This window comes from Homo sapiens, chromosome 6, assembly GCF_000001405.40.
Source record: "Homo sapiens chromosome 6, GRCh38.p14 Primary Assembly".
NCBI classification, from domain to species: Eukaryota; Metazoa; Chordata; class Mammalia; order Primates; family Hominidae; genus Homo; species Homo sapiens.
In genome coordinates, this window is record NC_000006.12 from 145,768,979 (window position 1) to 145,792,410 (window position 23,432).

A 23,432-nucleotide genomic window follows, 5' to 3' on the forward strand; every position below is an offset into this window, starting at 1 on the left:
CCATTATATTGTATTGCTGAGTAGTATTTTATTGTATGGTTATAGCATAATTTGTTTATTCATTTACTTACTGGTATACATTTGAGTTGTTTTTGGTTTGGAGCTATCAAGAACAAAGCTGCTATACATTTGTATAGTCTTGCTGTGGACACATTTTTATTTCTGTTGAGGAAATACCAAGGAGAAGAGTTGTTGGGTTATGTAGTAAGTATACAGTTACTTTTAAGGAAAAGATTATTAAGATGTTGGCTGTTCATTGCAGTCTGAAATAATAACATTTATGTGTAAATATCCAATAGGTATTTTGATATATATATACACATAGAACTATAGATTGAGATGTATTCCTATTAAACAGCATCAATACTGGAAAAGAGTACAAAATAATAAGTTTAGACATGGATAGCCATAAGTGGGAAAAGAAGGGTCAGGAAAAGGAAATCAGCAAAAGAACCAGAAATTAAAATAGGAAAATTAGAAAAATATGAAGTCATGAAGTCAAGAAAGTTAAGACAGGAGCATAAATAGGACCAAAATTTCTAGAGGTGGCTGGGCGCAGTGGCTTACGCCTGCTAATCCCAGCACTTTGGGGGATCAAGGCAGGCGGATCACTTGAAGTCAGGAGTTCAGGATCAGCCTGGCCAACGTGGAAAAACCCCGTCTCCACTAAAAATATAAAAATTAGCTGGGCATGGTGGCATGCACCTGTAGTCCCAGCTATTCGGGAGGCCGAGGCAAGGGAATCACTTGAACCCAGAAGGCAGAGATTGTGGTGAGCTGAAATTGCACCACTGCACTCCAGCCTGGGTGACAGAGTGAGACTCTTTCTCAAAAACAAAAACGACAATAAAAAATTTCTAGAGAATGATGGTTTCCAATTTCATCCATGTCCCTACAAAGGACATGAACTCATCATTTTTTATGGCTGCATAGTATTCCATGGTGTATATGTGCCACATTTTCTTAATCCAGTCTATCATTGTTGGACATTTGGGTTGGTTCCAAGTCTTTGCTATTGTGAATAATGCCGCAATAAACATACGTGTGCATGTGTCTTTATAGCAGCATGATTTATAGTCATTTGGGTATATACCCAGTAATGGGATGGCTGGGTCAAATGGTATTTCTAGTTCTAGATCCCTGAGGAATCGCCACACTGACTTCCACAAGGGTTGAACTAGTTTACAGTCCCACCAACAGTGTAAAAGTGTTCCTATTTCTCCACATCCTCTCCAGCACCTGTTGTTTCCTGACTTTTTAATGATTGCCATTCTAACTGGTGTGAGATGATATCTCATAGTGGTTTTGATTTGCATTTCTCTGATGGCCAGTGATGATGAGCATTTTTTCATGTGTTTTTTGGCTGCATAAATGTCTTCTTTTGAGAAGTGTCTGTTCATGTCCTTCGCCCACTTTTTGATGAGGTTGTTTGTTTTTTTCTTGTAAATTTGTTTGAGTTCATTGTAGATTCTGGATATTAGCCCTTTGTCAGATGAGTAGGTTGCGAAAATTTTCTCCCATGTTGTAGGTTGCCTGTTCACTCTGATGGTAGTTTCTTTTGCTGTGCAGAAGCTCTTTAGTTTAATTAGATCCCATTTGTCAATTTTGGCTTTTCCATCATTCTCAGTAAACTATCGCAAGAACAAAAAACCAAACACCGCATATTCTCACTCATAGGTGGGAATTGAACAATGAGATCACATGGACACAGGAAGGGGAATATCACACTCTGGGGACTGTGGTGGGGTCGGGGGATGGGGGAGGGATAGCATTGGGAGATATACCTAATGCTAGATGACACGTTAGTAGGTGCAGCGCACCAGCATGGCACATGTATACATATGTAACTAACCTGCACAATGTGCACATGTACCCTAAAACTTAAAGTATAATAATAATAAAAAAAAGAAAAAAAAAAAGTCATCAAAACTTAAAAAAAAAAAAAAGTTTTACTATTTTCATCACAGATATATCATGAAAAATTAAAACTTTCATTTATTCATCTAAGGAAAGATTTCTCAAAGAAGTAAATCCATAAACAATATTGTACATGTTTTTATGTAAAAGATAATTTATTAATTTGTTTTCAGCTGTCAAGAACCGAATGCATTTGTTACTAAAATTATAAAATGTCCCTTAATTAGGTTATAGTAATGATTGTGTATATTAGCAAACACCTAAATGTTTTGCTGATTGGGTAATGTGGGGTAAATAAAAAAACATTCATTTCAAAAAAAAAAAAAAATTTCTAGAGGACAAGGAAAATGGCACTTCATTGGTACTAATATTTATATTTTCACCATTCTTATAAATTATTTTCTCTCATCCTGATGAAATTGTCATATGGTTTTTGTCTTTTGCCTGTTAATATGGTGAATTACATGCATTGATTTTCAAAAATTAAACTAAGCTTGCATTCCTGGGATAAAGCCCCCAGAGCCATAGTGTAATCTACTTTTAATATATTGTAAGATTTGATTTGCCAAAATTTTGCTGAGAATTTTTGCATCTGTATTCATGAAGGGTACCGATCTGTAGTTTTCTGTTCTTGTGGTGCTCTTTCTTGATTTTAATGTTGCTTCATAAAATGAGTTGGGAATTGTTTTCTACTTTTTCATTTTTCTGGAAGAGTTTGGACAGAACTGGCATCATTTCTTCCTTAAAGGTTTGGTAGAATTCCCCAATGAAGCCACCTGGGCCTGAAATTTTCTATGTGGGGAATTGCTTTTCTTGTTTGTTTGTTTGTTAACTATAAATTTAATTTCTGTAAAATACATAGGGCTATTCAGGATAGCTATTTCTTCTAAGTAAGCTTTGGTAGTTTATGTTTCAAATACTTTTTCCATTTTATCTAAATTGTCAATTTTGTTGGCATGAAGTTGTTCATATCATCCCCTAATTTTCCCTTTAATGTTTAGCATCTGCTGGGAGATTCCCTTCTCTCATTCTTGATATTGGTAATTTGTGTTATCTCTTTTTTCCACATCAGTCTGGCTAGAGGTTTGTCCATTTTATTTATTTTTTTTCCAAAGAGCCAGCTTTTAATTTCATTAATTTTCACTATTTTTCTTTTTTTATTTTATTGTTTTCTAATCTTATCATTATCATTCCATTCTTCTGCTTACTTTGTATTTATTTTTTCTTTCACACATTTCTGAAATTCAAAGCTGAGGTATTTATGGCCAGGTGCAGTGGCTCATGCCAATAATCCCAGCATTTTGGGAGGTCGAGGCAGGCAGATCATTTGAGCCCAGGAGTTTGAGACCAGCCTGGGCAACACAGCAAGACCCTGTCTCTAAAAAAATAAAACGACAAACACTTAGGTCATTAATTTCCGACATTTCTTTTATTTTCTCATATAGGAATTTAGTGCTATAATTTTTTAAAGCACAGCCTTATCTTTACATTTTCACATGTTGTGTTTTCAATTTTATTGATTTTAATGTATTCTCTTTTTTTTTTTTTTTTGAGACGGATTCTCGCTCTGTTGCCCAGGCTGGAGTGCAGTGGTGCGAACTCGGCTCACTGCAAGCTCTGCCTCCCAGGATCACGCCATTCTCCTGCCTCAGCCTCCCGAGTAGCTGGGACTACCAGCACCCGCCACCACGCCCGGCTAATTTTTTGTATTTTAGTAGAGATGGGGTTTCACCGTGTTAGCCAGGATGGTCTCGATCTCCTGACCTTGTGATCCACCCGCCTTGGCCTCCCAAAGTGCTGGGATTACAGGTGTGAGCCACCGCGCCCGACCTTAATATACTTTCTGATTTTTATTTTGATTTCTTCTTTGACAACAGGTTATGTATAAGTATGATATTTAGCTTACCATATTTTTTGTATTTTCCAGACTTCTTTCTGTTATTGATTCCTAATTCTGGCCAGAAAACATACTCTGATTTGAATACTTTTAAGCTCATTAAGACTTGTTTTTAAGGCACAGAATAGTGTCTGTTTTGGTCAATGTTCTGTGTGTACATAAAAAAAAATGTCTATTCTTCTGTTGTGTATAAGTGACATTTGGGTCAAGTTGGTTGAAGGTGTTGCTCAAGTCTTCTACACACTTATTGATTTTCTGTCTCATTGTCCTGTCAATTATTAAGAGTGGTGTTGAAATCTCTCACTGTAATTCCGGATTTTTGCATTTCTCTTTCAAATTCTGTTTTGCTTCATGTGTTTTGAAACTGTCATTAGCTTCACAAATTTTGATGACTTGACCCTGTTATCACTCATTATCACTGGTAATATTTTTTGCTTTGAAATCTATTTTATATTTATATAACTACTTCAGCTTTGTTTTTATTAGTTGTAACATAATATATGTTTTACACACTTTTACTTTTGACCTACTTATATCTTCATATTTAAAGTGGGCTTCTTTCAGGCAGTATGTAGTTTGTTTTCGCTTTTTTATCTAATCTGAATACCTTGCTTTTTTACTGGCATGTTTTGGCCACTGCATTTTACTGTAATTATTAGAATGGTTGAACTTATATCCAAATCTACCATCATGCTATTTATTATTTGCCCTATCTATTCTTTCTTATGTTTATGCCTCCTTTTGAATTTAGTATAATTTATGATTCCATTTTATATGTTGTTGGCTATACCTATTTGTTCTTTTCTTTTTTTGTGGGGGGGGGTTGCTAAAGTTTTAAAATTGCATTCGTTTTCTATTATTGCATAACAAATGACCACAACCTTGGTGACTTAGAACAATCAAGTCTATTATCTCATATTTTTAGGAATATAAAAGTCCAGGCATAATGTGGCTGAATTCTTGGCCCAGGATTTCACCAGGCTGACATGAAGATGCCAGTTGGGGCTCTAGTACTAATCTAGAGCTGTGGGCCCTCTTCTAAGGTCACTGGCAGGATTCACTTTCTTATCGTAGGGTGGAGGTCCCAGTTCTCCTGTTAGCTGTTAGCCAGGGACCTCTCTCAACATTTGGAGGCCATCAGTTCATAACATGGATGTTTGCTTTCTTTCTGGCCTACCACAATACGTCTCCATAATTTCCTCCTTGGTAACCAGCCAGAGAAATCTGTGCATTTAAAAGTCTTGTGTGGTTAGTTCAGGTGCACCTGGATAATCACCCTATCTTAAGGTCAGTTGATTTTGGTTTGGGATCCTAATTACATTTATACTTCACAAGAGTATCTAGATCAGTGTTTATCTGAGTAACTGACAAAAGGTTTGTGTATTCCCCAGGCCAAGAATTTTACCAAGGCCACCTTAGAATTCTGTCTGGCATTGAATTTAACACAATCTACATTCAAGTAATATTATATCACTAACAATACTGTAAGGATCTTATAAAAAGTATGCTTAGATTCTCTATACAAGCTTTGTGTTTTTGTCATACATTTTACTTTTACATATATAAATTTCTTTGTATACATACCTTACAAGACATTATTTTATTTTAAGCAGCATGTTATCTTTAAATACCTTTTTAAAATAAAAAAATTAATATTTACTCACACATTTACCATTTCTGCTGCTCTTCAGCTCTTCATTCTTTAGTGCAGGTCCAAATTTTCGTTTTATATTATTTTCCTTCTGCTTCAAGTATTTTCTTTATCATTTTCAAAATGTAGTGATAAGTTACATTAGTGATAAGTTATTTAGGTTTTCTTTAATTTTTCTGCTATGTTGTATAGTTTTCCACTTGGAAGACTTACACATCTTTCATTAAATGTATTCCTTCACATTTTTTATTTGTGCTATTGTAAATGGAATCTTAACTTCCCAATTTTTATATATAAAAATACAATTGACTGTTGTATATTAATCTGGAGTTCTGTACCTTTCTTTTTTAAAATTTTTTAAATTTTACTTTAAGTTCTAGGATACAAGTGCAGAACCTGTAGGTTTGTTACCTAGGTATACATGTGTCATGGTGGTTTGCTGCAGCTATCAACCCTCCATCTAGGTTTTAAGCACCGCATCCATTAGCTGTTTGTCCTAATGCTCTCCCTCCCCTTGCTCCCTATCCCCCAACCGGCCCCGGTGTGTTGTTCCCCTCCCTGTGTCCATGTGTTCTCATTGTTCAACTCCCACTTATGAGTGGGAACATGCAATGTCTGGTTTTCTATTCCTCTGTTAGTTTGCTGAGGATGATGGCATCCAGCTTCATTCATGTCCCTGCAAAGGACATGATCTCATTCCTTTTTATGGCTGCGTAGTGTTCCATGGTGTATATGTACTACATTTTCTTTATCCAGTCTATCATTGATGGGGATTTGGATTGATTCCATGTCTTTGCTATTGTAAATAGTGCTGCAATAAACATACGTGTGCCTGTGTCTTTATAGTAGAATGATTTATATTCCTTTGGGTATATACCCAGTAATGGGATTGCTGGGTCAAATGGTATTTCTGGTTCTAGATCCTTGAGGAATCACCACACTGTCTTCCACAATGGTTGAACTAGTTTACATTCCCACCAACAGTGTAAAAGCGTTCCTATCTCTCCACAGCCTCACCAGCATCTATTGTTTCTTGACTTTTTAATAATTGCCATTCTGACTGGTGTGAGATGGTATCTTATTGTGGCTTCGATTGCCATTGCTGTAATGATCTGTGATGAGCTTTTTTTTTTCATATGATTGTTGGCCTCATAAATGTTTTTATTTTTGAGACGTATCTGTTGATATCCTTTGCCCACTTTTTGATGGGGTTGTTCATTTTTTTCTTGTAAATTTGTTTAAGTTCCTCGTAGATTCTGGATATTAGACCTTAGTCAGATGGGTAGATTGCAAAAATTTCCTCCCATTCTGTGGGTTGCCTGTTCACTCTGATGTTGTTTCTTTTGCTGTGCAGAAGCTCTTTAGTTTAATTAGATCCAATTTGTCAATTTTGGCTTTTGTTGCAATTTCTTTTGGTGTTTTCATCATGAAGTCTTTGCCCATGCCTATGTCCTGAATGGTATTGCCTAGGTTTTCTCCTAGGGTTTTTATGGTTTGGGGTTTTACATTTAATTATTTAATTCATCTTGGGTTAATTTTTGTATAAGGTATAAGGAAGGGGTCCAGTTTCAGTTTTCTGCATATGGCTAGCCAGTTTTCCCACACCATTTATTAAATAGGGAAGCCTTTCTCCATTGCTTGTTTTTGTCAGATTTGTTGAGGATTAGATGGTTGTACATGTGTGGTATGGTGTTATTTCTGAGGTGTCTATTCTGTTCCGTTGGTCTGTATGTCTGTTTTGGTACCAGTACCATGTTGCTTTCGTTACTATAGCCTTGTAGTATAGTTTGAAGTCCAGTAGCGTGATGCCTCCAGCTTTGTTATTTTTGTTTAGGATTGTCTTGGCTATATGGGCTCTTTTTTGGTTCCACATGAAATTTAAAGTAGCTTTTTCTACTTCTGTGAAGAATGTCAATGTTAGTTTGATGGGAATAGCATTGAATCTATAAATTACTTTGGGCAGTATGTCCATTTTCATGATACTGATTCTTGCTATTCATGAGGCTGGAATGTTTTCCCATTTGTTTGTGTCCTCTCTTATTTTCTTGAGCAGTGGTTTGTAGTTCTCCTTGAAGAGGTCCTTCACATCCCATGTTAACTGTATTCCTAGCTATTTTATTCTCTTTGTAGAAATTATGAATGGGAATTCATTCATGATTTGGCTCTCTGCTTGTGTATTGTTGGTGTATAGGAATGCTTGTGATTTTTGCACCTTGATTTTGTATCCTGACACTGCTGTAGTTGCTTATCAGCTTAAGGAGTTTTGGAGAGATGCTAGGGTTTTCTAAATATATCATCATGTCATCTGCAAACAGAGGCAATTTGACTTTCTGTCTTCCTATTTGAAAATGCTTTATTTCTTTCTATTGCGATTGCCCTGGCCAGTACCTCCGATACTATGTTGAATAGGAGTGGTGAGACAGGGCATCCTTGTCTTGTACCAGTGTTCAAAGGGAATGCTTCCAGCTTTTGCCCATTCCGTCTGATATTGGCTGCGGGTTTGTCATAAATAGGTCTTACTATTTTGAGACATGTTCTATGAATACCTAGCTTATTGAGAGTTTTTAACATGAATGGATGTTGGATTTATCAAAGGCCTTTCCTGCATCTATTGGGATAATCGTGGTTTTTGTCATTGGTTCTGTACTTGTGATGGATTACATTTAATTAATTTGCATATGTTGAACCAGCCTGCATCCCAGGGATGAAGCTGACTTGATCGTGGTGGATAAGCTTTTTGGTGTGCTGCCTGATTCAGTTTGCCGGTATTTTATTGAGGATTTTCACATTGATGTCCATTAGAGATATTGCCCTGAAGTTGTCTTTTTTGTGTGTGTATCTGCCAGGTTTTGGTATATGATGATGCTGGCCTCATAAACTGAGTTAGGGTGGAGTCCCTCCTTTTCAACTGTTTGGAATAGTTTCAGAAGGGATGGTACCAGCTCTTCTTTGTACCTCTAGTAGAATTTGGCTGTGAATCTGTCTGGTCCTGGGTTTTTCATAGTTGGTAAGCTATTAATTACTGCCTTAATTTCAGAATTTGTTATTGATCTATTCAGGGATTTGACTTGTTCCTGGTTTAGTCTTGGGAGGGTGTATATGTCCAGGAATTTATCCATTTCTTCTAGGTTTTCTAGTTTATTTGCATTAAGGTGTTTATAGTATTCTCTGATCGTAGTTTGTATTTCTGAGGGGTCAGTGGTGACATCCCCTTTATCTTTTTTATTGTGTCTATTTGATTATTCTGTCTTTTCTTCTTTATTAGTCTAGCTAGTGGTGTATCTATTTTGTTAATTTTTTCAAAAAACCAGCTCCTGGATTAATTGTTTTTTTAAAGGGATTTTCGGTCTCTATTTCCTTCTGTTCTGCTCTGATCTTAGTTATTTCTTTTCTTCTGCTAGCTTTTGGATTTGTTTGCTCTTGCTTCTCTAGCTCTTTTAATTGTGATGTTAAGGTGTTGATTTGAGATCTTTCTAGCTTTCCGATGTGGGCATTTAGTGATATAAATTTCCCTCTTAACACTCCTTTAGCTGCATCCCAGAGATTCTGGTATGTTGTCTCTTTGTTCTCATTGGTTTCAAAGAACTTCTTGATTTCTGCCTTAATTTTATTACTTACCCACGAGTCATTCAGGAGCAGGTTGTTCAGTTTTCATGTACTTGTGTAGTTTTAAGTAAGTTTCTTAATCCTGAGTTCTAATTTGATTGCACGGTGGATTGAGAGACCGTTTGTTATGATTTCAGTTCTTTTGCATTTCCTGAGGAGTGTTTACTTCCAATCATGTGGTCGATTTTAGAATAAGTGCCATGTGGCACTGAGAAGAATGTATATTCTATTTATTTGGGATAGAGAGTTCCGTAGATGTCTATTAGGTCCACTTGATCCAGGGCTAAGTTCAAGTCCTGAATATCCTTGTTAATTTTCTGTCTCGTTGATCTAATATTGACAGTGGGGTGTTAAAGCCTCCTATATTATTGTGTAGGAGTCTAAGTCTCTTTGTAGGTCTCTACAAATTTGTTCTATATTAACTTCTTTTTCCTAGCTGTTTTGAGGATCCCTTAGAATTTTCAATGTAAATAATTATATCTGCAAGTGAAGGTAATTATATATCTGTGTTGCATTTTTTAAATGGTCGCATTTTCAACTTATCACAATCTTTTTTTTTTTTTTTAATGGAGTCTTGCTCTTGTCACCCAGGCTCAAGTGCAATGGTATGATTTCGACTTACTGCAACCTCCGCCTCCTGGGTGCAAGTCATTCTCCTGCCTCAGACTCCTGAGTAGCTGGGATTACAGGTGCCCACTACCATGCCCAGCTAATTTTTGTATTTTTAGTAGAGATGGGGTTTCACCATGTTGGCAAGGCTGGACTCGAACTCCTGACCTCAGGTTATCCACCCACCTCAGCCTCCCAAAGTGTTGGGATTACAGTCATGAGTTACCGTGCCTGGCCTATCACAATCTTTTATTGTTCTATTTGACAGCATTGGAACATCACTGCTCCAGTTATCAACTTACCCCTATTATTTGTTTAATTGTTGTCATAAATATTACATTTAAATACATTATAAACCCTATGGTACTGCATAAAAGGTTTGCTTTACATATTATGTCATTAAAGTAATTAAGAGAAGAATAAATTATATCGTCACATTTGCCAACATACTTATCATTTTAGGTGATCTTCATTCATTTCTATAGTTCTAAATTAACATTTTGCATCACTTATTTTCATTCTGAGGAACTAACTTCAGCATTTCTTATTGTATATGTATATTAACAATAATTTTAGTCAGTGCTTTCTCCATGTCTTTATTTTACCTTCATTTTGAAGAATAGTTTGCTAGACACAATTATAGATTAACAATAGTTTTTGTTCAAATCTTTAAAAATAACATTTTAGTGTCCTATCAAATGATTTATTTTTATTTAAATTTTCTCATGAAAAATAACCCATCATTAACATCTTTTTGCTTATGTATATAATATGTTGTTTCAGATGCTTTCAAAATTTTGTCTTATCTTTAGATTGAGCAGTTTAACTATGAAGTGCTTAGTTTCAATTTTTATTAAATTGATCCTGCTTGGGACTCATTTAAACACCTTGAATGTTAAAACTGATGTCTTTAAAATTCAGAGGGAAGTTCTCAGGTCCTAATTTTCCATATCCTTTTTTTTCTGCTCCATTCTCTCACTCTTCCCCTTTTGGAATTAACATTGTATGTATATAAGACTCCTTGATATTATTCCATATATCTCTGAAGCTCTGTTTAATTTTCTTCAATCTTTTTTTCTCTCTGTTCTTCATACAGGGATAATATAAATAATCTTTCTTAAAGTTTATCGACTTCTTCTTCTACCATCTTTAGTTGGTTATTATTCCCACTAGTATTTATTATTGTGAAACAAATTACCCTAAAAATTTGCAGCTTAAAGCAATGTACATTTATTATCTCACAGTTTCTGTGGGTCATGAATTCAGACAGAGTTTATCTGGGTCCTCTGCTTGATGTTCTCTCACACGGCTGAAATCAAGAAGTCCACCCAAAGTCTATGATCTCAACTGAAGACTCAGCTGGGAAAGCATTGACTTCTAAGCTCACTTCACAGTTTTTGGCAAGATCCAGTTCCTCACTGGCAAGCAAGAAAGAGATTCTAATAGCAAGATGGAAGCCACGATGTTTTGGAACCCAATCATCAAATGACATACAATCACTAGTCATCTTCCATTGGTGAGAAGCAAGTCACTTGATCCAGTCTACACTCAAGGGAAGGGGATTACATAAAAGCGTGAATACTACGAAAAAGGAATCATTGGAGATCATCTCAAGAGCATTCATACAACATCATACCATAATATTAATACTATTCAGTGATTTTTCATTGTAGTTATGGTACTTTCATATACTCACATACAGATACATACAAATGGAAAATCTATGTGAATGTATGTTTATGTTAAGCTGTTGCAAAGTCCTTGTCTGCTATTTATAACATCTGAATTACCTTGGGGTTATACCTATTAACTACTCTTATTCATGAACATGGGTCACTTTTTCCTGTTTATTCACAAATCTGGTGGATTTTATAGGATACTAGATATTATGAATTATGAACTGTAAAGATGACTCTGGATTCCATTTTGTTCCTTTGAAAAGTGAGTTTTGTTCTAGTGGGCAATTTACTTCACTGAGTCAAACTCCAATGTCCATTTTTTCTTCTGTGGAATGTAGCTAAAATCTCTACTCATTTTTTTCTGCTTCTAGCTGCTGTTTGTTTTTGCTTGGCTCAATGGGCTGTCACCTGCACATGCATAGTTTGGTAGTCAAATATTTAGGCAAATTTTATACATAGATTTTGATGCTTACATTCTTCCTAGTCCCTTCTCTTACAACATTTCCTCCTTAACTTTCTGGCCCCTTCTAGACTCGACTCTATCTTTTTACAACTTAAGCCAGTAAGGCTATGGCTTTCTGTGATTCATGCAAATTTCACTTGCAGTACATTTTTAAAGGGTAGACCTCTCTCCACTTGATGGCTGGTTTAAGACCCTCTGTAGTATCTTCAAACAGTTTTCTTTAAATGTTTGGCACTAATTTTATAGTTGCTATCTGTCAGACAGTTGGTCCCACAAAGCTACTCAGCCATTGCCCTAGTAATTGAATATTTAAACATCTAAGTAACAGATGGCTATTAAGGTTTCAAAATAATTACCTAGATTATAGGGGAGTTATGTCAGCAGGAGGGCAAAATAGAAGATCCCCCAGCGTCACTTCCCCCACCCCAACACACACAAATACAATTAGAAATTATTCAAACACCAGAATACTACCCTGAATTTGCAGAACTTAGGAGAGAAATAGAGAAACTCCCTGGGCCCACAGAATCAAGAAAAAACAAACCAGTAAGAGGAACAATTATTTCAGACTGCTCCACCATCTCCTTTTAAGCTGTCATAATGCCACTCACAGAGAATTTTTACAGATCCACTTTATTGGAAGTTGGAGGAGAGAACTGGAGGTTGGCATTTGATTTCCCCATTAGTCTGAGAATCTCCATGGGAAGCCCACTCTGATCCTGTCCCATGGGAACCACTGGTAGTGCCAATTGGGCTGAACCATCTGGAGTGGATTGAGGACAAAAAGCAAGGGTACTGATTACAGCAACTAGCGTGTGGATCTTGGTGGCTGCTATGTGCTCTGGTCAGTGGCGATGCCACACTGAGGAGACTGATTGGCACCATAGTGTGGCGGGGGTGCAATCCTCAACAAGGCCCAAATCCCTGGATGGATTTCCCACAATGTCCAGGTGTTTGCATGAAACCTTCTGATGAGCTGAAACAACTAAAAGGTCAGTGAATAGGTCTAATGCTTCCTTAAGTCTTCCCCAAACTGGGAAACAATGGTAGGGCAGTGCTTAAATTTCAGTGCAGAGTTTAAGTTCCAGTGCTCACTATATGTCTTCTCCAGGTCAGAAAGCAATAGTAGGCCAGTGATTACATTCTAATATTAAGTAGCAAATGTATAATACCACCAAAGAACACCTACAAAAAGTGGAAGAGTTGGCTACCCCATCAAATGTGCAAGCATCAACATAAAGAAACAAGGATTGTAAAAACTCATGGAAATCTGAAATCACCAAAAGAAACCAGCAATGTTCCAGTAATGAACTCCCAAAAACAAAATATCTAGAAGATGTCTGATAAAAAATTCAGAATAATCTTTTAAATGTTCAGGGAATCACAAAAAGATACAGATAGAAACTGAATGAAATTTGGAAAACAATCCAGAGACAAAATTAGAAATTTGATAAAGAAATAGAAACAATTTTTGAAAACCAAGTAGAAGTAAAGAATACAATAACTGAAATTTAAAAAACTCATTGGAAAGTTTCAACTGCAGAGTTGATAAAACAGGAAAAATTCAGTGAGTTCAAAGACATAACATGAAATTACCCAATCAGATGAGAAAAAAGTAAAAGTAATTTTAAAAGAGTGAAGGAGGCCTATGAGAATTATGGGACAATGTCAAGTGAATTAACCTCTGCATACTGTGAGTTCCTAAAAGGGATGAGAGAGAAAAAGGCCTAGAAAGTATACTTAAGGAAACAATGGCTAAGAACTTTCCAAATCTGAAAAAAGATGGTAGCATCCAGGTACAGGAAACTCAGAGATCACCAATAAAATTTAACCCAAAGAGATATTTCCCAAAGTACATCATAATCAAATTATCAAAAATCAAAGACCAAGAAAGGATACTCAAAGCAGCAAAAGGAAAACAAAAAATCACATTCAATGGAGCCCTAGTGCAGCTTTCAGTGGATTTCTCAGCAGAAACCCTGAAGGCCAGGAGAGAGTAAAATTGACATATTAAAAAAAAAAATCTCTCAGCCAAGAATACTGTACTTAGCAAAGCCAAACTTCAAACATGAAGGAGAGATGAAGACTTTTCCCCAACATCCCACAAGAGCCCTGGGCCTCTCTTTCAAAACCATTATGACCTCAAGACTTTGGCGCTCTGGACCTATGATGGATGTGGCAGCCTAGATCTCTGAAATGGCTTCAGAGTCATTCTACCGTTGTTTTGATGAATACCTCCTGGCTTCCCTCTATCCACATGAATCTTACCAATGGTTTCTTGGACACACCCATTGTTTTCTCTCCTAAACTTGATTTTTGTATTCTTTGCATGGGCAGCCTAAAAGTTTCTAAATCTTTACATTTTGTTTTGTTTTTGGATTATATTTATATATTTCCATCTTCAAATTGTTTCTGTCTCCTTGCACTTTACTAAAGCAGTTAAGAGAAGCCATGCAGTACCCTCAACACTTTTCTGCTTAGCAATTTTTTTCCATCAAATATTCTAGTTTATCACTCTTAAGTTCTAACTTCCACAGAGTCCTAAGATACAGACACAACTCAACCAAGTTCTTTGCCACTTTATTACAAGGATGGCCTTTCCTCCTGTTTCCAATACCTTGTTCTTCATCTGCATCTGAAATGGCAGAGTAGTCTTCACTGTATTTCTACCAACATTCTGTTCACAGCCACTTAAGTAATCTATAAGAAGTATAAGGTCCTCTCTGCAGCTCTCCTTTTCTTTTAACCCTTTACCAGAATCACCCTTTCGCCCCACTCATGGCAATATAGGCTTTTTCTAGCCTGCCCCTACCAACTGTATCAGCCTCTGCCTATTACCTAATTTCAAAGTCACTTCTACATTTTCAGGTATTTGTTATAGGAACACCCCCATTTATCAGTACCAATTTCTGTCTTAGCCCATTTTGTGCTGCTAAAACAAAATACCACAGACTAGGTAATTTTTACAAAAAATAAATTTATTTTCTCACAGTGCTCGAGGCTAGGAAGTCCAAGATCAAGGTTAAATAGGCAGATTTGGTTGTCTGGTGAGGGGTGTATCCTTCAGAAAGGAGAAATGCTGTGTCTTTACATGGTGGAGTTAAGTGAGTCAAATGCTAGACAAAGCTTTTTTTTTTTTTAAAAAAAGGTCTTAATCCCATTTATGAGGAAGCAGCCCTCATGGCTTAAATCACCTCTTAAAGGCCCCGCCTCTTAACCCTTTTCCTGTTTGCTGAGAATACTCACCGGTGGTGCTTGCAGCTGTAGCAATTACCCTGAGATAACTTTGCTATGAAATATTTCACTCTTATTATTATTTTCGCATTGCTCTAGCATATCGACTTTGGAAACAAAAGACATCATTCTATTTATAGCATTCTACATTTAGTAGTGGTATTTTCATTTACAAAATACAGTTATTTGCATTCACTGAAAATGTCAAATCCTAGAAAATGCAGCATTTCTACATGTGATGTTAACATCGTTCTGACAGTTGTTGGCCAAGGATTCATTTGATGAATCTGATTTTTCTGAAATAGACGATTCTGATGATCTAATCAATTCTGATATTAGTTCTGTTTAGAAATAACGCCAGCCAAGAACAGTTTTTATATTTTATTTTCACATTGGAAAATCAAGTCAGATTTGCTGCAGCCTCAAAGAGCATGTTTAAGTAAAATTAAATGAGTGCTGGCCATGAGCTGCATTTTTAAAATTCTAAACAGGAAAAGGGTTAATACTATCTAATTGGCAAGACCTGAATTTTAGAGGGGAGACATTCAAACCACAGGGGTGAAATTCCATTTGGTAAATTCTAGCTCATTTACCAAAAAACTCAAAAAGCTGCTAGTTTTGAGTAGGGTCTAAAGCAGGAGAAGGCTCCACAACAGGTCTAGGCTGCTGTGCAAGCTGCTCTGCCACTTGGGCCATATGACCTAGCAGCTCCAAGCGTACTTGAGGTGTCAGTGGCAGATAGGGATAATGTTTGCAGCCTTTGGCAGGCCTCCATAGGTGAATTGCAACAAAGGCCTTTAGGATTTTGGAGCACTGCCCTGCTGTCATCCACAAATAACTACTCTCTTTTTGAGAGACAGCTCTTGGCCTGCTACTGAGCCTTAGTAGAAACTGAAAGCTTGACCACAGGCCACCAAGTTACCATGTGACCCAAGATCCCTATTATGAACTGGATGTTCTCTGATCCACCAAGCCATAAAGTTAGGCATGCACAGCAGCACTTCATCATCAATGTAAGTGGTATATACATGATCAAACCCAGGCAGGTCCTGAAGGCACAAGTAAGGTCCATGAAGAAGTGGCACAAATGTCCATGGTTTCTGCTTTGCTACAATGGCTCCTCTTCTCAGCCTGTAGCTGTAACCTCATGGGAAGTTCGCTATGATCAGCTGATGGGAAGAGAAGACTCAGGCCTGGTTAATAGATAGTTCTGAACAATATGTGGGTACTACTGACAGTAGACAGCTAGCTGCAGCTCTACAGCCCCTTTCTAAGACATCTCTGAAAGTCCAAAGGTGAAGGAATATCTTTTTAGTGGGGTAAACTTTGGGCAGTGCCCCTGGTCGTGTGCTTTGTGTGGAAGGAGAAAGGGCCAGATGTGTGATTATATACCAATTCATGGGCTGTAGTCAATAGCTTGGCTGGATGGTCAAGGGCTTGGAAGAAACATGGTGAAAAACCGGTGACAAAAGAAATATGATGAAGAGGTATGTGGATACACCTTTTTAAATGGGCAAAGGACATAAAGACATTTGTGTTCCATGTGAATACTCACCAAAGGATGACCTCAGTAGAGGAGAATTGTAAAAAACAAGTAGATAGGATGACCCAGTCTGTAGATACCAGTAAGTCTCTTTCCTCAGCCATTTCTGTAATTGTGCAACAGATTCATGAACAAAGTGGTCATGGTGGCAGGAATGGAAGTTAGCATAGGATCAGCAACACAGACTTCCACTCACAAAGGCCAACCTGGCCATGGCTACTGCTGGTGCCCAATCTGCCAGCCCCAGAGGCCAACACTAAGCCACTGATATGATTAGCCAAGCATATGGTGGCATGGCAGGTTGATTACATTAGACCTAATAGACACTTACTCAAGGTATGTATTTGTCTTCTCTGCATGCAATATTCTGTTAAAAGTATCATCTGTGGACTTACAGAATGCTTATATATATATATATATCCTATTATATTTATTTGTATTACTTTATATATGTATGTATACACACACACACACACACACACACACACACACACACACTAAGGGGAGTTTATTATTAACTTACACGATCACAATGTCCCACAATAGGCTGTCTGCAAGCTTGAGAAGCAAGGAGAGCCAGTCTGAGTCTCACAACTGAAGAACTTGGAGTCCGATGTTTGAGGGCAGGAAGCATCCAGTATGGGAGAAAGATATAGGCTGGGAGGCTAGGCCAGTCTCACTCTTTTCATGTTATTCTGCCTGCTTTATATTTGCTGGCAGCTGATTAGATTGTGCCCACTAGATTAAGAGTAGATTTTCCTTCCCCAGCCCACTGACTCAAATCTCTTTTGGCAACACCCTCACAGACACACCCAGGATTAATACTTCGAATCCTTCAATCCAATCAAGTTGACACTTAGTATTAACCATCACAAGTCCACCCCTTGTCAACTTGAACCCATACACATCTCCTGAGATCATACATAATTTTCAAATAAAGACAATAATAAGGTCATAATTACACCTAACATAATACAACTATCCTTCGTACAACCAGAAATGTACCAATCCCCAACCCAAATAATATCACATAAAGTTAACAGCACTTAAATGCTGATATGAAATCAAGAAATCTTATGTCATATGATAAAGGAAAAGGAAATAAAACAAGATATTTTCTTAGTACAAGTATATACAGGCACAAATATGTTTTTAACAAAAGAAGGAGGAAATCCTCATGGTAGTTACAGTCCTCGTTTCTGAAGTTGGTCATGTGGTCATAGCTGGTACTGATGACTACCTTTCTCTACTACCCATTCTGTATTCCCTTTGCCTTCAGTAAGCACCTCAGCAGATCATGTTTTTTTTTCCTGGTGGGGTGACCCAAAACCTTCATTCCTGAGGGTTCTGGGCCACTTGTAGTCCTGCCTTAATTGGGCTACTGAGTTTCCCATTGACCTTAATCACAGGGCATGGTAATACTAAGAGATGCCCTAATGGATCTCCTGTATTCCATGCATACTCTTCCTTACCTCTGTTGTGGAGTGGTAGACTGATTTCATCTTGATAGTCTGGGTCAATCACCCCAGCCAACACTGTAACTCCCTTCTTAGCCTGTTGACTTAAAGGTAGGAGGAACCCAAAGTGTCCAGGTGGCAATCTTAATTTCCAGTTTAATGGAATAATTGTTGTGTCTCCTGGTGGCAGCGTCTCCCCTTTGAAACTAAGATCTCTAGGCCAGCAGAATGTAATGTCACAGGAACAGGAAGCAAAAATTTTGCTAGTGGATCACTAAGGGTGATGGTTTGTGGTGCCACTTCCACTCTTATCCATGGTCATAGTATCTCATACAGCATTGCTTCTGACCAAGAAACTCATGTCATAGTGAAAGAAGTGCAGCAATGGGCTCATGCTCATCGAATTATCTTATCGTGTTCTCCATCACCTTGAAGCAACTGTCTTGATAAAATGGTGAAATGGCCTTTTACAGTGCCAGCTAGATGATAACACTTTGCAAGACTGGAGCAGTGTTCTCCAGCAGACCACAGTTGCTCCAAATCAACACCCGGAATATGGTACTCTTTCTTCCATAGCCAGGATTCATGGATCCAGGAATCAAGGGGTGAAAATGGGTGTGGCACTACCCGCCATTACCCCTAGTTACACACTAGCAAAATTTTTGCTTCTTATTCCCACAACCTTATGCTCCGCTGGCATGGGTGTTTTAGTTCCAGAGGGATAAATGTTTCTACCAGGAGACATAACAATTCCATTGAGCTAGAAGTTGACTGCTATCTGGCCACTGTGGGCTCTTCATGCCTCTGAGTCAGCAGGCTAAGAGAGGAGTAACAGTGTTGGCTGGGGTGACTGATATGGACTATCAAGGAGAAATCGGACTGCTATTCTACAATAGAGGTAAGGACGAGTATGTCTGGAATACAAGATATCCCTAGGGGGGGCTCTTATTACTACCATACCCTGTGATTAAGGTCAGTGGGAATTTATAATTACCCAATCCAGGCAGGGCTGCAAATTGCTGAGATCCTACAGGAATAGACATTTGGGTTACTCCATCAGGTAAAGAACAATAACCAGCTAAGGTGCTTACTGCAGGCAAAGGGAATACACAACGGGTAATAGAACAAGGTAGTTATAAATACCAGCTACAACCATGTGGCCGGTTACAGAAACAAGGGCTGTACAATCTCTATTTTGTTAAGAATAGGTTTTTGTATATATACACATATATGAAGCAAATATCTTTGTTTTCATTGCTTTCTTATCCTTTGTCATGTAACATAATATGTATTGAGCTTGTATTAGTATAAGTACTGTTAATTTTACATCACAGAATTTTAGTTATCGGATATCAGAAAAGGAGTAAATATCATTCAAGAACTTTACCTCCTCTTCTGGGGAAAGGATTCGTGAGTTTTTGATTTTGCACAAGATAGCTGTATTGTTATTTAGAGATTAAGTATGATAAAGAGATGTGTATGGGTGCTAAGTTGACAAGGGATGAACTTGTGATGGTTGATTTTGGGTGTCAACTTGACTGGATTAAGAGATATCCAGATAGGTGGTATAGCATTACATATCTTCAGTGCTTCAGTAGGCACTAAGCCCATCCCTCTTCTGCTGAAAGGAAAACAAACCCAGGTGTTTTAGCATTCAATTAGAATGACTGGACTGCCCTACGTATGTCCATGAGGGTGTTTCCAGTGGAGATAGGCATTTTAGTCATTGAACTGAGTGGGGATGATCTGCCATCAATGTGGGTATGCACCATCTGATCAGCTGCGGTCTTGGATAAAACAAAAACATGGAGGAAGGGTGAATTCTTGCTGTCTGTCTTCTGGAGCTTGGGCACCCTTTATCTTCTGCCCTTGGATATCAGATCTCCAGGTTCTCTGGCTTTGGGACTCCTGCACTCACACTGGCAGCCCCCTAGGCTCTCAGGCCTTAGACCTCATACTGAGAGTTACACCATCATCTTCCATTCTTTGGTTGTGAAGTCTTCAAATATGATCCAGGCTACTGGATATCCTGGTCCTCCAGGCTGCTGGATCTCCTGGCTCTCCAGCTTGCAGATGGCCCATCATGGGACTTCTCAACTTCCACAATTGAGTGAGTCAATTTCTCTAGTTAGATAGATAGATAGATAGATATCTCCTATCAGTTCTGTCGTTCTGGATAACCCTGACTAAAACAGTAGCTTTACAGTTTGAAAAAAAGAGGCAAAAGATAGTTCTGATTTTGAATTGGCTCTAGTTTTTAATATTCAGGTAGATTAAGTGAAAATTTCCTCAACGTTTATGGTACACTTAAATAGGTGTGATTCTTCTTATTCCTATACACATACTCATTTGCACTGTGACTTTGCTGCTCCTTCCATCAAAGGGTATAGAGCCTATTTCTCCACCCCATGAATCTGGGTTTGGCCATGTGACTGCTTTGGAAAATGGGACATTAATAAATGTGATGAGCAGTGGCTTGGAAAGGGGTTGAACGTAGGGGCTTACACTCTTGCTATTCTTGTTACTGCCCTGTAAATAAGCCTGGGCTAGCCTGATGGATGATGAGAGACACATGGTGTAATCATCCCCATAACCCTGGCCAACAGCCTGCCAACTGCCAGATGTGTAAGGTGATCTTAGATCATCTAACCTCCAGCCGACCCATCAGCTGACCATGGACGTGAGCCAATTAGGAAGACAACAGCCAAGTCAGGCCAACCAGAAATGCTGAGCCAACCAATCATGAGCTAATTATATTGTTGCTTAAACAACAAACTTTTAGGATTTCATGTTATGCAGCAAAAGCTAACTGACACGACACTATTCAATCATTTTTCATTATTAGATTAACAAACCTCTACTGAATGCCTTCTGTATTAGTCTGTTTTCATGCTGCCGATAAAGACATACCCGAGACTGGGAAGAAAAATAGGTTTAATGGAATTACAGTTCCACGTGGCTGGGGAAACCTCACAATCATGACAGAAGGCAAGCAGGACAAGTCATATCTTACATGGATGGCAACAGGAAAAGAGAGAGAACTTGTGAGAGGAAACTCCCATTTTTAAAAGCACCAGATCTCATGAGACATATTCACTATCATGAGAATAGCATGGGAAAGACCCACCCTCATGATTCGTTTACCTCCCACTGGGTCCCTCCCACAACATGTGGGAATTGTGGGAGTTACAATTAAAGATGAGATTTGAGTGAGGACAAAGCCAATCCATATCATTCCACTCCTGGTCCCTCCCAAATCTCATGTCCTCATATTTCAAAACCAATCATGCCTTCCCAACCATCCCACAAAGTCTTAGCTCATTTCAGCCTTAACTCAAAAGGCCAAAGTCCAAAGCCTCATCTGAGATAAGGCAAGTCCCTTCCACCTATGAACCAGTAAAATCAAAAGCAAGTTAATTACTTTCTAGATGAAATGGGGGCACAGACATTGGATAAACACACTCATTGCAAATGGGAGAAACTGACCAAAACAAAGGGCTAAAGGCCCATGCAAGTCCAAAATCATTGGGGCAGTCAAGTCTTAAAGTTCCAAAATGATCTCCTTTGACTCCATGACTCACATCCAGGTCATGCCAATGCAAGAAGTGGGTTCCCATGGTCTTGGGCAGCTCCACCCATGTGGCTTTGCAGGGAATAGCCCCTCTCCTGGCTGCTTTCATGGGCTGGCATTGTCTACGGCTTTTCCAGGTGCACAGTGCAAGCTGTCAGTGGATTCACCATTCTGGGGTCTGGAGGACGGTGACCCTCTTCTCACAGCTCCACTAGGCAGTGCTTCGGTAGGGACTCTGTGTGGGGGCTCTGACCCCACATTTCCCTTCTGCACTGCCCTGGCAGAGGTTCTCCATGAGGCCTTTGTCCCTGCAGCAAACTTCTTCTGCCTGGGCATATCCAGGCATTTCCGTACATCCTCTGAAATCTAGGCAGAGGTTCCAAACCTCAATTCTCAACTTCTGTGCACCTGCAGGCTCAGCACCACATGGAAGCTGCCAAGCCTTGGGGCTTGCACTCTCTGAAGCAATGGCTCAAACTGTACCTTGGCCCCTTTTAGCCATGGCTGGAGTGGCTGGGACGCAAGGCACCAAGTCCTTAGGCTGCACAGAGCAAGGGGGCCTTGGGCCCAGACCATGAAACCATTTTTTCCTTCTAGGCCTCCAGGTCTGTGACAGGAGGAGCTGCTGTGAAGACCTCTGACATGCCCTGCAGACATTTTCCCCATTGTCTTGGGGATTAATATTCAGCTCCTCATTACTTATCCAAATTTTTGCAGCCAGCTTAAATTTCTCCTCAGAAAATAGGATTTTCTTTTCTATCACATTATCAGGCTGCAAATTTTCCAACCTTTTATGCTCTGCTTCCCTTATAAAACTGAATGCCTTTAACAGCACCCAAGTCACCTCTTGAATGCTTTGCTGCTTAGAAACTTCTTCCACCAGATACCCTAAATCATCTCTCTCAAGTTCAAAGTTCCACAAATCTTTAGGGCAGGGGCAAAATGCCACCAGTCTCTTTGCTAAAACATAACGAGTCACTTTAGCTCCAATTCCCAACAAGTTCCTCATCTCCATCTGAGACCAGCTCAGCCTGGATTTCATTGTCCATATCATTATCAGCATTTTGGTCAAAGCCATTCTTCAAGTTTCTAGGAAGTTCCAAACTTTCCCACATTTTCCTGTCTTCTTCTGAGCCCTCCAAACTTTTCCAACTTCTGCCTGCTACCCAGTTCCAAAGTCGCTTACACATTTTTGGGTATCTTTTCAGCAGCATCTCACTCTACTGGTACCAATTTACTGTATTAGTCCATTTTCTTGCTACTGATAAAGATATATGAGACTGGGAAGAAAAATAGGTTTGATGGAGTTACAGTTCCATGTTGCTGGGGAAGCCTCACAATCATGGTGGAAAGCAAGGAGAAGCAAGTCACATCTCACATGGATGGCAGCAGGCAAAGAGAGGATCCCATGCAGGGAAACCCGTTTTTAAAACCATCAGATCTCATGAGACTTATTCACTATCATGAGAATAGCATGGGAAAGACCTGCCCCCATGATTCAATTACTTCCCAGCAGGTCCCTCTCACACGTAGGAACTGTAGAATTAAAATTCAAGATGAGATTTGGTGGGAACACAGCCAAACCATATCACCTTCTGTTTGTAAGGCCCTCAGCTAGGAATAGAGATGCAAAGCCACATAAGATATGGTTTCTACCTAGATGACCTCATAATTATAGTATATAGATACCAGCAAATAGATAATGGCAGTGCAGTGTGATTATACTGTAAAATGATATGACTTTAAAATAAATGAAATCCAAACTGGGAATATAGATAAAAGATGATTATCTGTTGGAGATGGTC

At 38.6% G+C, this 23,432-nt stretch overlaps 2 long non-coding RNA genes across 2 annotated transcripts in view; one reads left to right on the forward strand and one right to left on the reverse strand.

The window, feature by feature from the left end:
- EPM2A-DT (EPM2A divergent transcript) overlaps positions 1 to 23,432 on the forward strand; it is a 151,717-nt gene that overhangs the window by 34,110 nt on the left and 94,175 nt on the right. The window lies entirely within an intron of this gene.
- On the reverse strand, positions 14,783 to 17,048 carry LOC124901419 (uncharacterized). Its single transcript, XR_007059800.1, has 2 exons — positions 16,612 to 17,048; positions 14,783 to 16,225 (listed from the first exon to the last, which is right to left on the reverse strand). It is a non-coding gene; the product is annotated as an uncharacterized LOC124901419 (long non-coding RNA).